The sequence below is a fragment of the Homo sapiens genome, chromosome 5, assembly GCF_000001405.40.
Source record: "Homo sapiens chromosome 5, GRCh38.p14 Primary Assembly".
Lineage (NCBI taxonomy): Eukaryota > Metazoa > Chordata > Mammalia > Primates > Hominidae > Homo > Homo sapiens.
Window position 1 is genome coordinate 69,723,532 of NC_000005.10, and position 13,859 is coordinate 69,737,390.

The window sequence follows — 13,859 nt, forward strand, 5'->3', positions numbered from 1 at the left end:
GCACTAAATGAAGCTTGTAATATTAAATACAATCTTTAGAAACTCTTTTGCAGTGCAGGAAAAAAATAGAACTGAAAACAAAGCAGAAGAAATCACAGATATAAAATTAAAGAGGATAGAATTAAGCACCGGAGTTCCCACATCTAAAGTGAAAATCTAAGAATTTAAATATCATTCAAATGCAGACTAAAATACAATATAAAATAAAATTTCCTGAGCTAATTTTTAAAATACTGCTTAATTTGTAGGTAAAAATGCAGACTAATTTTCTGACTATATTACTATAAAAACCTTCTACAAATATTTTTTAACTAAAATTATAAGAAAAACATCCGCCATAAACACGTAAGATTAGTATTTTCGTTTCTGAAGTATAAAATGTCTGGATAGACTTGAGCTTGTTGCTTTAGTTTTATATGTGAAGACTGGAAAAATTCTGTTTTGTTTTGAAAAATATTTTGAGCTAAAAATGTTGTATTCCACATTTGTTAGGAATGGAAGTCTTTAAAATATGAAATATTTCCAATTGAAGAAAAATAGTGAAAATGAACTTTATCTGAATAAGATTAATGAAAATTACATGTTGAAAAAGTAAAATAGTTATGTGTACTAACAGTGACTACTAACCCAACAATATAAAATTAAGTAAAAATGTTATTACCATGTTAAATACAAATTAAAATTAATTATAAAAAAGTTAAGATCTATGATTAAAGTATTAAAATAAAATGAGACTGTATTCACAAATCTAAAAGCAAATTGGTGAATGACATATTTTTTGAAATAATAAATTCTTTGGCATATTTTATATTTTTTATTATAAATGAAAATTATTTATTTGAAATATTTAAAGGAACAAAATATTTGCAGCTCTATTTTATTGAGAAAGGAATTACAAAACAAAAACAAGGAGCTTTTGTAATTACAAAAGAATATATTAATAATATTATTTAGAAGCACAAAACCAGAAAAGCTTTATATTATTTCTAACAATAAATGTAAACCATCTAATTTTCTGAAAAGGGGTGGAAATAAATATTTAACAAAGAAGATGTTATTCTTAAATTGTAATATGTACATTGCCTAAAAATAAAAAGGTAGTTGAAGATATATTGTGAACAACAAAAAATGAAGAGCTGATAATATTAATGTGCGAAGGAAACTCATAACATATTGTACTAATTATAAATCAGTGTATTGACAAAACCTGAGTCCTCAATTATTATTGACTGTCATTGACATGTTAATGATAGAATATTAAATATAGAATATAATAAAGCAATTTAGAATAAAAAAGAGAAAGCGATAGACATGAATAGAAACAAAATGCAACTGTTCAATATTAAAAGCCTTTCTAAATTGCTTGTGTTTTTCTAGTGACCTGTTTCGCTATGCAGTGTAGGCTCAGGTGTCTAGATTTTAGTTGCAGATAAACACAGGTAGTGTTTTCCAGATCTCAGAATGACCAGTTACATAAAAATAGGCCATAAACCATATATTTCATTCTTGCGGTTGACAAACCTCTAATTCACCTGAAAATATTAAAAAGAAAGAAGACAGACGTGACAGTGGTTGGAAGTTGAGGATAAGAAGAAGTTGGCAGAAATAAGCTTTCTTCTTTTGGACAGCAATGCATGATAAAAAAAATTAAACTAAATTCAGTTCATTTCCACTAACTGGGACTTATTTAGAAACTTTAAGAAAGTCTGAAGAATTTCAATTGAGGAGTAAATAAGGGCCAATTTATTTCATAGTGTGGACTCTCAAGACAATATACAACAGTGCTTCTCAAGGTTAAACAGTGTATGAGTGACCTGGAAATGAAGATGCAGATTTAATAGGGCTGGAGAGAAGTCTGAGATTCTCAATTTCTAATGAATTAAATTACAAAGAGGAGAAAATAAGGTTATTGCTTACTTTATATACATTCACAAACACAGGCTAATCAAATAATTGTTTAAAGTATTGCTCTGATAAGAATTAAATTACATAGTTCATAGGAAACATTTTCTTTACATTCGGATTTTATCTATTATTAGAATAATAATAGAATCTTGACTTTATGTAACTCTATGTTCCAAACAACTAGAAACTTTTCGATAGCAATTGTTCACCATTTAATAACATTTTTCCAAGATACCTAATGCACTCAAGGACAAAATAGCTGCCTTCCAGTGATTTCCAATTTATTCAATTTTCAGGCCATCTGTCTGCCCACACAATGACAGATTATAGTTACATTCTTGCCATGCTCTGAACAGCTAAGCCAATTGTTTTCAATCTTTTTTCTTCAGCAACTCCATCTCTTAAAGTACTTCAGAGTAGTTCCTGAAAGGATTCCTCTTTAGTTAAATGGCTATACAGCTCTCCCATCATCCAAAATAATCAGTGGAGAGATAGCAATATTTTTCATTACATTAGGCCAAGTTCCGTTGCTTCCTTCATCTTGTAATCTGATCAGAAACACCACTATAGATTCAATAATTGAGTTTAGAGTTTCAGAGAATTTGGGGTCACAGAACATCTATGTCTATTTTGTAAAGATTATTGCATATTACTGAAATAGCTTGTCAAACACTGCAGTCTGCTTAAAGTATCAAAATAGAAATGTTGAATGCTGTGTCTGCACAGAGTTCATTTAAGCAAAGAATCTACTAGGCTCTTAAGTCTGTTAATGCAAATTCCTGAATACAGCTGACCCTCCATACCCCCATTGTGGGTGGATTTAACTAACCATGAATCAAACATATTTGTTAAAAGAAATACCAAGAATAATTTTTAAAAAGAAATACAACAATAAAACAATGCAAATAAAAAACAATCCTTATAACAATTATGTGCATAGCATTTATATTGTATTCAGTATTATTAATGTAAGTAATAATCTGGAAATGATAGAAAGTATACAAGAGGGTTGTGTAAGTTATATGCAAATACTAGGCCATTTTATATAAGAAACTTGAGCATCTCTGGCTTTTGCTATGAAGGGATGATGGTGGTAGGATTGGTGGTGGTCCTGGAACAAATCCCCAGCAGGTACCAAGGGGGACTGTAGACCCCAAAGCTGTTTAGGAATGGGTCACAGCAGCAGGACTGAGGCAGGAATGCTCCCCACAGAAAACATCAACCACCTGTTGATTTTTGAATCTGCTCCTCTCAGGCATGCCTTCAAATGCTATAACCTGGAGAGTCAACTCATTTTCATGCTGCTAAGTAGGAATAGGTGATTCAATTCCCCAAGAAAGTGACAGAGGTCCCTGAAATATAGATTTAAAGTTACATAGTGTCAAATGCTAGTCATTTTCTTTTTGCTCGATGGTATCCTCTCAGAAAAACCTTTTATAATATTTCTAATTCATTTACCAGATTTATAGAATCATCAAATTGTCTATCCATGTGTTTTTCAAATATTTTGTGAAGTGTCTAGGGTAACAACCTAGTGTTCGAACGTATTTTGTGAAGTGGCTAGGGTAACAACGTAATGTTCGAACTTATGTTCGTATTTAAATACAAATGTATTTTGGTTGAGTGATTACTCAAGGTCACTGAGGAATCCACAAGGTTAACCTCCTGACTCTAGAACCATTGTTATATAGAGATATATAAATAGCTGATTTAATATTATAGGCTTAGCAAAATATTTAATAAATAAGGTCTTAGTAAAACAACACACATGTATTTATCCACTTATTTAATTTTGTTTTTCCATTTCTTCTGAACATAAGTTCCTGAGGACACGGGCCTTTTTTCACAGTTCATTTTTGGATTCCAACATCTAGCCAGTACTCTGCAAAGAGCACTGAATTTGAAAGAAATTTCTCAGTTAATGATTTGAATCATATAAAATATTTAGTAAATTTGAAAACTAGTAACCGTGTAAAGCGATTAAAACAAACATACTAGAGGGTAATAATCCCCCGCCCCTTGCCTTCTTCCTTTACATCCACTTCATTCTTATTCTTGTCTACTTCCCCTGCCCCACCCAGGGAACGTGGTTAGCCCATCAGCTGCAAAGATTGTTCTCATATAATATTGTTCTGATGGATAATGAGACTCTGAAAGTGGAACATAAACAGATAAAACAAAAACAAACAGAAAAGAACCCAAAAACCTAAACTCAACTTCAGTTAAAGCAGAAAATATCTGTCCAGCCTAAACCAGGCATACTCCACAGACTTCTGTTAGACGCCTGATCCTACTTCAGTCTGGAACCACCTAGTCTTCAGGTTTGCCTGGTGCTCACCAGCTGAAGAAATCCTTTAACGACCTTTATTCAGTCAAGTAAATCGTTTTCTTTTGGCAACTTGCATGTTATTTTTTAGGTTTTCATTTATTTATTTTTTTATATTTAAAGTCATATTTTCTTCCTTTTATTCACTTTGCTGGTCTTTCTCACTTTGATTTTTTTTTTTTTGCCTTGTTTTGCATTTGTTTACTTTAACATTTTTTGTAACTTATCTCTTTTATTTTGGAAATTATTCACATTATCAGTTTTCTTTTGCTAGGCAATTTTGATATTCTAATAAACATTATTAACATAAAATATAAAGTTTACTAACACCAAGCCCAAACAATACAAAGTCTTAGGGCTCTTTAATTGCAATTATTTAAAAATATTTGCTACAAATTGTTCATTATTTTATATTCATGTTGTTTTTCTTATTCCCACAAATCACATATTGTTGGTGTGTTTGTTAAATAAAATTGTGACTGCTTATATATGTTTTTTCACATCCTTTCTTCTTCTAATATTTTGGAATTTACATCCAGTTAATTATCCTTTATTCTATGGTACATACTGTAAAAGTTACTATTCTTGGTAGTAAACTCTCAGTTTTTGGATTGTCTGAAGATGTCTCTATTTTGATCTGCTCTTGAATTCTAAATCTAATTGACATAAAATTCTAGATTTGCCGTTATCATTTATTAGCACTTCAAAGATATTCCACAATTTTCTGACTTTCAATATTTTTGTTGGTAAAAATGGTGATTGTTAATTGGCTTGCATATTCTGTTTTGGATATTCCACTGTTTCCTTATAATTTGTTTATTTATAAGGAAACTTATAAACAAATTATAAGGAAACAATAGAATATCCAAAATAAAGAGAATAGTTATGGGTTCGTATAGATAATTCTTCAGAATCTACTAATTTGTGTCTTTCTTCTTTACTTCTGTAAACTTTTCAGCTACTATATATTAGAATATTTCTTAACTTTTTTATATTCATTCTGAAATTTCTTGCTGAAATTTGTTCAGAAGGTGAGTTAACGGAGCTATACATCTTTAGTGTCATGTGCTCTAAATTGCAAAATACATGTATTTTTATTTCAGACAACTTGAGTAACATTTGTGCAAATGTTTTATATACACGGACTTAATTTGGTAAATTTAGGCATGTGGTAGACAAATTTAAAAATGTATAAAAATCATGGGCAAGCATATGAACATTCTATTTTTGCTACTATAAAAAAATAGCAGACTATCCAACTATTTTATGATACTCAACGATACATCTTACTAAATGGTCACGACTCTTGCCTCTCAGGGTCAGAGTTTGCAATAGTGAAAGCAAGAGAAAGCCACGGAAAAAAAAACAGGGAGAGGGAAAATATTAAGCTCTAGAATATGTACATTGTTTTGCTTGTATAAATTTGGAACATTCAACACATGTTTACAATGAATACATATAAAATACCAATGACATGAGGAGAATTAGAATAGAAATAAATACAAGGATTCTTTCATGATAACTAAAAATATCAGTGAAGGTTTGTACATAAAATTTAGGGATTTTATATTATTACCTAATACAATTCTGGCTATAACATCACTAAAGGATTGTAAACGTCTGCTGGGAAACCTATGGGAAAAAAATGCAAGTGGAACTGGTGTCATACAAACACATTTTCTAATGGGAAGCTTAACTGGTGAAATGTAAGTTGGAAACGTTACTCAATTTAGGTCTATGAAAATGTTTTCCCAAATACAATCTTTTCTTGTTTGATAGGAGGTTTTACTGTGATGTATTATTTCTGACAGCCTCTTTTTTTTTTTTAAAAGCAAACGAGTAGAATTAAGTGAATTAATTATCATATCTAACCTGTAAGTACAAATTACTTTCCCTTGGAATTACATAATTGATAATTGTACATCCTCAGATGTGTTTGAATCTGAGATTTACTCTAAACTCAGAGGAAAAAAAGTGAAATTTTGTTTCCATTGTGGCACCTTTGTTTCCTTTTTAAGTTTTCAAAATTTCTTAGAAATTATTTTTCCCTTTCATAATTTATTCAACAAGTATCTATTGTTAGGTGTTGGGAACACAAGACCTAAAACTCCTGACAAATATATTCTATTTCTGAGGTCAATTTGTACATTAATAAATGCATATATAATACCAGACAAGATTGTAATGCTAACCAGTTTGACTTTGAGGCACGGTATTCAGAATGTAAATGCCCCTGGAAAAAACATTGAATATAAATGCCCCTGGAGAAAGAATGTAGTTGGAAAAAACATTCTGAGGTAAAATTATGCAATATTGGTATGACTAATTAGAGTGACCAGAGGTTCACACATTTTTGTGACATGCCATTGGTAGAAAAAGAGCCATAGCTGAAAAAATATGGCAGTCATAAGATGTCAGTGGAAATGAAGACAAGGATACCTTTTGGTCAATTTTCTTGAAAATATTGGCTTTTTCAACAGTGTAGTTTATTTAAAATTTAGTCCCAGTTCTTAGCAATTATTTATATACTGATGGACTTATATCCAGGGTCTTCTTGAATTAAAAAAAGTCAAAAAATAATTTTATAAATTTAAAATATTATAAAATTATGATATATACAATTCTTGCTCTCTCTGTCATATTTTTCCAATTTTTTGTCTGTCTTGTTTTTTCTTGCCTTTTCTTCCCTGTCCTTTCCCTTTCGTTTCTTTTCTTTTTGTTTCCTTTGTCTGGCCTTGCTTTGAGTTTCTTTTCCAAACGAATTCACTGGAGGTGGTATTTTTATGCATAATATACACAGCAAATGTCTAGGGCCTCTCATTTTTTACAAATCTTTGTAAGAAAAGGCTATCTATTAACCCAATGACATTGTCATAACCTTTTCTAAATTTCAATGATATTCAGTTTCTCGCAGCTATTACATTACAAAGTATACCTCAGTAAAAATCTAGTAAGTCATAGGGCTGATGTTGCTGATTGCTCACTTGCTCAAGCCAGAAGCTTAGAATACATGCTTGATTCTTCACTTTCCTGTGGGTTTATGCCAAATCAATTTCAAATCTATAGATCTTATCCTCTAAATAACATACAGCATGCCTACTTTTTTCTCTCTCTCGACTACTGTCACATTAATTCAAAAGAAAAAGACTGATGATTCCTAACTTCCTGGCTTCAGTAATTGGCAACGATGACATCACTACTAAGGCTTCACTTCTCACCTCTGCTTCCATATGAGTGTAATGTTATTTTCTCCTATGACAGATAAGTTTATTTTTCACCATTAAAAGGTAAGAAACTCACGCATAACCAAAGTTGGAGGAGACAGTTATTTTTTTTCCCCAGCTTGCCTGTTAAAACCATAAGGAATGATTAATCTGCCATGGTGCTTGATGTGGCCCAGGGATGTGCTCAGACTCAGTCATGTAGGGGCAGGTGGTATTAACATTAGTTCAAACATGGAACCATGGCATGTGTTAGAAATAATGGCTTATATTAGAAACCGGACATAAAATTGTCGTGAGCAAGAAAGTTACCTCAATTTGAGTCTACTAGAAGTTTCAGAGTGCCATTTCACATGGCCACAAAGTTCAAAAGTTCCAAAAGAAGCAAAAGTTTGACCAAGAAATCAGTGATTTTTTAAAAAAGAGAAATTGAGCTCAATCATGTTTTTTATATCTTCTACTGTACTAAAAGTTTTTTTCTCAATAATTGACTAAAAGTTCATTAACTACTGCACAGACTTCAATATTTAGAAATGTAATACGGGCTTGCTAACTAAAAGTGAAGTTATTTTATTGTCGGAACTAGCTATTGTTAGAAAGACTCATTTGCTTTTTATAATACAATTTTACATATGATTTATAGATTGACAGATTATAACAATTTATAGATTATTACCTCATTAATTTATTGAATAACCTGACTAAATTACTTAGTCACTGAATTAAATACAACCCAGCCTTAATACTTTGGGTCAAGGAACATTGACCAAATATGTATTTATGCCACAGATTCCTTGAAATTTCTTACCAAAGTAAATTGTTTCATGAAAAATACAGAAATAAATTGGTAACTAAATAAAACATGTTCTATATTTCAACTTGAAAAATTAAAGAAATTAATAATTCTTAAAATCAAAGCAATGATCATTTGTTTCCTAATTATTATTATTGTGAATGTACTTAAAATTTTTGCTATGCTTTTAAGAAAGATGTACTTCTATTAAAAATTATTAAAATAAACAGCAGAGAGACTGACTTTTCAAAATAGTTTATCTGGGAAGAGCAATGAACTGCAATTTGGGATATGTGTACCGTACTGAACCATAGGCACATTTGAAAAAGCTGGGGGAGCCGAAGCTTTTTTAAGGGTAAAAGGTGAAGTTCCCCATCAAACTACCGTTGGCATTCTTCACAGAATTAGAAAAACCTATTTGAAATTTCATATGGAATCAAAGAAGACCCCATATAGCCAAGACAATCCTAAGCATAAAGAACAAAACTGGAGGCATCACACTACCTGACTTCATTACTGCAGGGCCTCAGTAACCAAAACAGCATGGAACTGGTACCAAAACAGACATATAGACCAATGAAGGTGAACATAGACCTCAGAAATACACCACACGTCTACAACCACCTGATCTTCAACAAACCTGACAAAAACAAGCAATGGGAAAGGATCTCATATTCAGTAATAATGTGGGAAATCTGGCTAGCCATATGCAGGAAACTGAAACTGGACCCCTTCCTTACACCTTATACAAAAATTAACTCAAGATGGATTAAAGACTTAAATGTAAAACCCCAAACCGTAAAAACCCTAGAAGAAAACCTAGGCAACAACATTCAGGACATAGGCAGGGTGGGCAAAGACTTCATGACAAAAATGCCAAAAGCAATTGCAACAAAAGCCAAAATTGACAATGGGATCTAATTAAACTAAAGAGCTTCTGCACAGCAAAAAAAAAAAAAAAAAAAAAAAAAAAACTATCATCAAAGTGAACAAGCAACCTACAGACTGGGAAAAAATTTTTGCAATCTACCCATCTGACAATGATCGAATATCCAGAATTTACAAGGGACTTAAACATGCTTACAAGAAAAAGACAAACAACGCTATCAAAAAGTGGGCAAAGGATATGAACAGACACGTCTCAAAAAAAGACATTTACGTGGCCAAAAAACATACAAAAGAAGCTCAACATCACTGATCACCAGAGAAATGCAAATCAAAACCACAATGAGATGCCATTTCACGCCAATTAGAATGGAGATTATTAAAAAGTCAGGAAACAATAAATACTGGAGAGGATGTGGAGAAATGGGAATGCTCTTACACTGTTGGTGGGAAAGTGAATTAATTCAACCATTGTGGAAGACAGTATGGGCATTCCTCAAGGATCTAGAACTAGAAATACCTTTTGACCCAGCAATCCCATTACTAGGTATATACCCAAAGGAATATAAATCATTCTACTGTAAGGGAACATACGTGTATATATTTATTGCAGCACTATTTACAATAGCAAAGACATGGACCCAACCCAAATGCCCATCACTGATAGACTGGATAAAGAAAATGTGGTACACATACACCATGGAATACTATGCAGCTATAAAAAAGGAATGAGAGCATGTCCTTTGCAGAAACATGGATGAAACTGGAAGCCATCATCCTCAGCAAACTAACACAGGAACAGAAAACCAAATACCGCATGTTCTTATTCGTAAGTGGGATTCGAACATTGAGAACAAATGGACACAGAGAAGGAAACAACACACGCTGGGGCCTGTTGGAGGTTGGGGGGTGAGGGGAGGGAACTTAGATGATAGGTTGAAAAGTGTAGCAAACCACCATGGCATACGTATACCTATGTAACAAACCTGCACGTTCTGCACATATATCACTTTTGTTTGTTTTTTGAAGAAGAAGAAGAAATAAAGAAAAAAAAAGGTGAAGTTCATGTAAATTATTTTAAAATAAACCTCTTTGGCCCCAGAAGCTTATTGCTTGGTATGGACAAATACTCATCGGTGATACTGGCTATTGCTGGGAAGATGTCTTCATAGAAGCGTCGTATCTAAAATTTTTGTAGTTTTCAGGGAGTCCTTGCAATAGTTCTTTTAGAGACATCCATGCATGAAGGGCCTTCTTTTATACTCTCCCAGCTCCATTTTGTTGTGGTTTGACTTCAGTGAGTCAACTTCTTTGCTTGTAACTTTAACATTTCCCCCCTTTGACCAAGAATTTTTTCTGAAAGCATTGCTGATTAATCAGCCTATAGTTAGGTTTTGATTGTTTCTTGGTGCTGGAGTGGACCTTTCCTAGTCAGTCTGATCCTGCATCAGAGGTGAATGGCCAGCAACTAAGAGCAGATGTCAAAACCCTTTTAGTCACATTTAAGAAACAAAGAGGTTCAGAAGGAGTGGCTCTCAGGATAAATCTGCCTGGAGTTCATTGCTAAGTTCAATTTTGTCAGTTCCATAGGCATTGACTACCATTTGGAAGTTCTGGACCAGTGTTATTCTGTTAGATGCATCATTTCTGCAGAGGTTGGACAGGAAACAGATAAAAAGTTTAAAAAGAATGATGCGGTACAAAATTAATAGTAACATGAAATATTGTCTATGAACATGGACCCAAAGGCAGCCAACTAATGAATCAAAAGTCTATGTGAGACTGAGTGAGATCTGTTGTAGCCATAAAGCCTGTCTTGCTATTTTATGCAATTAGGTCTTGACTTCCCCAGAGAAATATATTCAGGTACAGCATGTAGTTATTAGCAATGGCACAGACATTCTTGTTCAACCAGTAGATAATTGAGAGTTATCTCATCCTGTCCTGTTGTGTTATCTACGGCTACTCAGCAAGATACTTTAATGAGCACTGCTGGGCGGCAATAGCCTTTGCGGTGAAGCCTGCAACGAAACCCAAGGTGGCAAATAAATTAGGGATGTTGCCATAGTTACCCACTGGGTGGACTAAAGGATCCCTTAGGTCATGTAAAGATGTGGGTTTGACACGACAGATCCAAAACTTCATTCAGTTACGGAAGCTACTGAATGTGAAATTCTAACCACAGCGTTATTCTGCCAAGTGAAAAATGTAGGCATAAGCAAGAAAAAAAAAAAATAAGAAGGATAAGAGTCCAGTTTTGTTACAATGTCTTGGGAAAAGCTTTCCACACTGTGATGTCATCAACTTCTTACTCTGGTTTGTAGTTTGAATGTTCCTGGGTATAGCATGGGGCATTTTAGTCAATTCTCTTTGTAGCCCACACAATAGCCATGAGATTTCTCTCTTGAAATTTACATGGAGTTTTCTGGCTCCAACTTGTAGGACTTTAGGAACAAGGCAGTTTATGTTCTTAGTTGGAGAATCATAGCCAGACGTTGGAGGAAATTAGAATAATTAAGTGCCCTGTCTAATTTAGAGATAGATGACAAAAACTTGAAAACAACAAAGAAAACTACAATCTACTAACAGGTGTACTGCAGTTTTTCTTCAGAAACATAATTTTTCTCTGTACAATCATCCCTATTTCTACTAAAGATAATCAGAGTAAGACTAATTTGTCTGCTGAATAAGTTTAGTCTCATTAAACTTGGCATGATTATTGACAACAGTATAGCAAGAAAAGGGATGAAACATGGGCTGTTTTTAAGTTTATTTTGATGGAACTTTTGATAAGAAATCTCAGATTAGACTTTTAAAAGCCTTTCAAGGGTCAGAAGTCAAAGGAGGGCGAACATCAGACTTTGGCTGCAGTATCTAAAAATCTGCATGAATTTCTCTCTTCTTGAGGTCTCCAATATATCTGGAGGTTCCTGGCCTGTCAAGAGGTAAAAATGTTTATTCACTCACTGTGAGCTTGGGAATCCTTGAAGCTAGGCATCCTGTGCATAGTCTCAAATATCACATTCAAGTCAAACCATTTATAATATAACCAATGTTTGTAATTCTATCCTGTTACAAAGAGAATAGATTTTTATTGAATTAATGCAAATAACTATGTTGCCATAAAATAAAAATATCAATAAGAGCTCTCTGAAGACTGCAGCCGCAGGTAGGAAGAAAAAATAAATATTTCCATTTTTATTTATAAAAGTATACTTTACCAAATTGCTGTATGCTATAGATAGCTTTTTAAAAGTTTTCTCAAATCTGGAAAACAAAAAATTTAAAAAAAACAGCAAAATGTTAAACAAAAAGTCACTCGAAAATATTGCCATCAGTTTGTTTAGTCCCATTCATTAAACTTATTCTACTTGATCTGGGTTAGATGTTTTAAGAAGCCATCGTTTCTTCATTAGAGTCCTGGAAATTCTTTCCCAGTCCAGTGGTATAATCTTAAACTCATAAGAAATCTAAATTCCAGCATACTTGTTAGAGTCCTTTTCATGAACCTCCTTGAAGAGGAAGTATTTTTCTTTATTCATTTTAATTTATTCTCTACAATACTTCATTAGGGAGTTCAATGATTTGCACTCAGAAGTTAAATAGCCAAGAGGCAAGCAAGTATAATAAACTTCAGAATTGGACTGAGGTTGTTGCACTGAAGGCCATGTAGTCTTTTGCTTCAGGGAAATAACAACAAAAATAACCAAAATGAACACATAGCTCCCTAGGCTTCTGAATCTCAGTAGAGAATAACATCAACATTTAATGAAATTGTAGATATTAACACATCATGGGAAAAAAGATACTGTGCAAAATATTATAATTAACACTTGGCACTTCTTATGTCTAGATTTTTATTATAAACAATAAAATATATGTAATATCTTAACTACAGACCTTTCATGTTGAAAGGGCATCTAACATAACTTGTTTTAACATTATGAAGGGAAAAAGTTTAGAAATTTCAAAGTGGAAACAATCCAACACTAACAAACTATAGTGATCAAAAGTATTAACTTTTAAAGAAAAACAAGGACAATTCATAAAAGTAGAACTACCATTTGATCCAGCAATCTTACTGGTTATCTACCCAGAGGAAAAGAAGTCATTACACAAAAAAGATACTTGCACATGCACGTTTATAACAGCACAATTAGCAATTGCAAAAATGTGGAACCAGCCTAAATGCCCGTGAATCAATGAGTGAATAAACTGTGGTATATATTTATGTGTGTGTGTGTGTGTGTGTGTGTGTGTGTGTATGTATATGTATATATATATGCATATGTATATATATATATATGCATAAATACATATATGTAATGGAATACTATTCAGCCATAAAAAGGAATGAATTAATGGCATTCATAATAACCTGGATGGGATTGGAGACTATTATTCTAAGTGAAGTATCTCAGGAATGGAAAACCAAACATTGCATGTTCTCACTCTTAAGTGGGAGCTAAGCTATGCAGATGCAAAGGCATAAGAATGATACAGTGGACTTTGGGGACTCAAGGGAAAGAGTGGGAAAGGCATGAGGGGTAAAAGACTACAAATTGAGTTCAGTGTATACTGCTCGGGTGATGTGTGCACCAAAATCTCACAAATCACCACTAAAGAACTTACTCATGTAACCAAATACCTCATGTTCTCCAAAAACCTATGGAAATAAAAAATTTAAAAAATTACAGAAAGGGAATGTATTATGAGACAAGCCACGTTT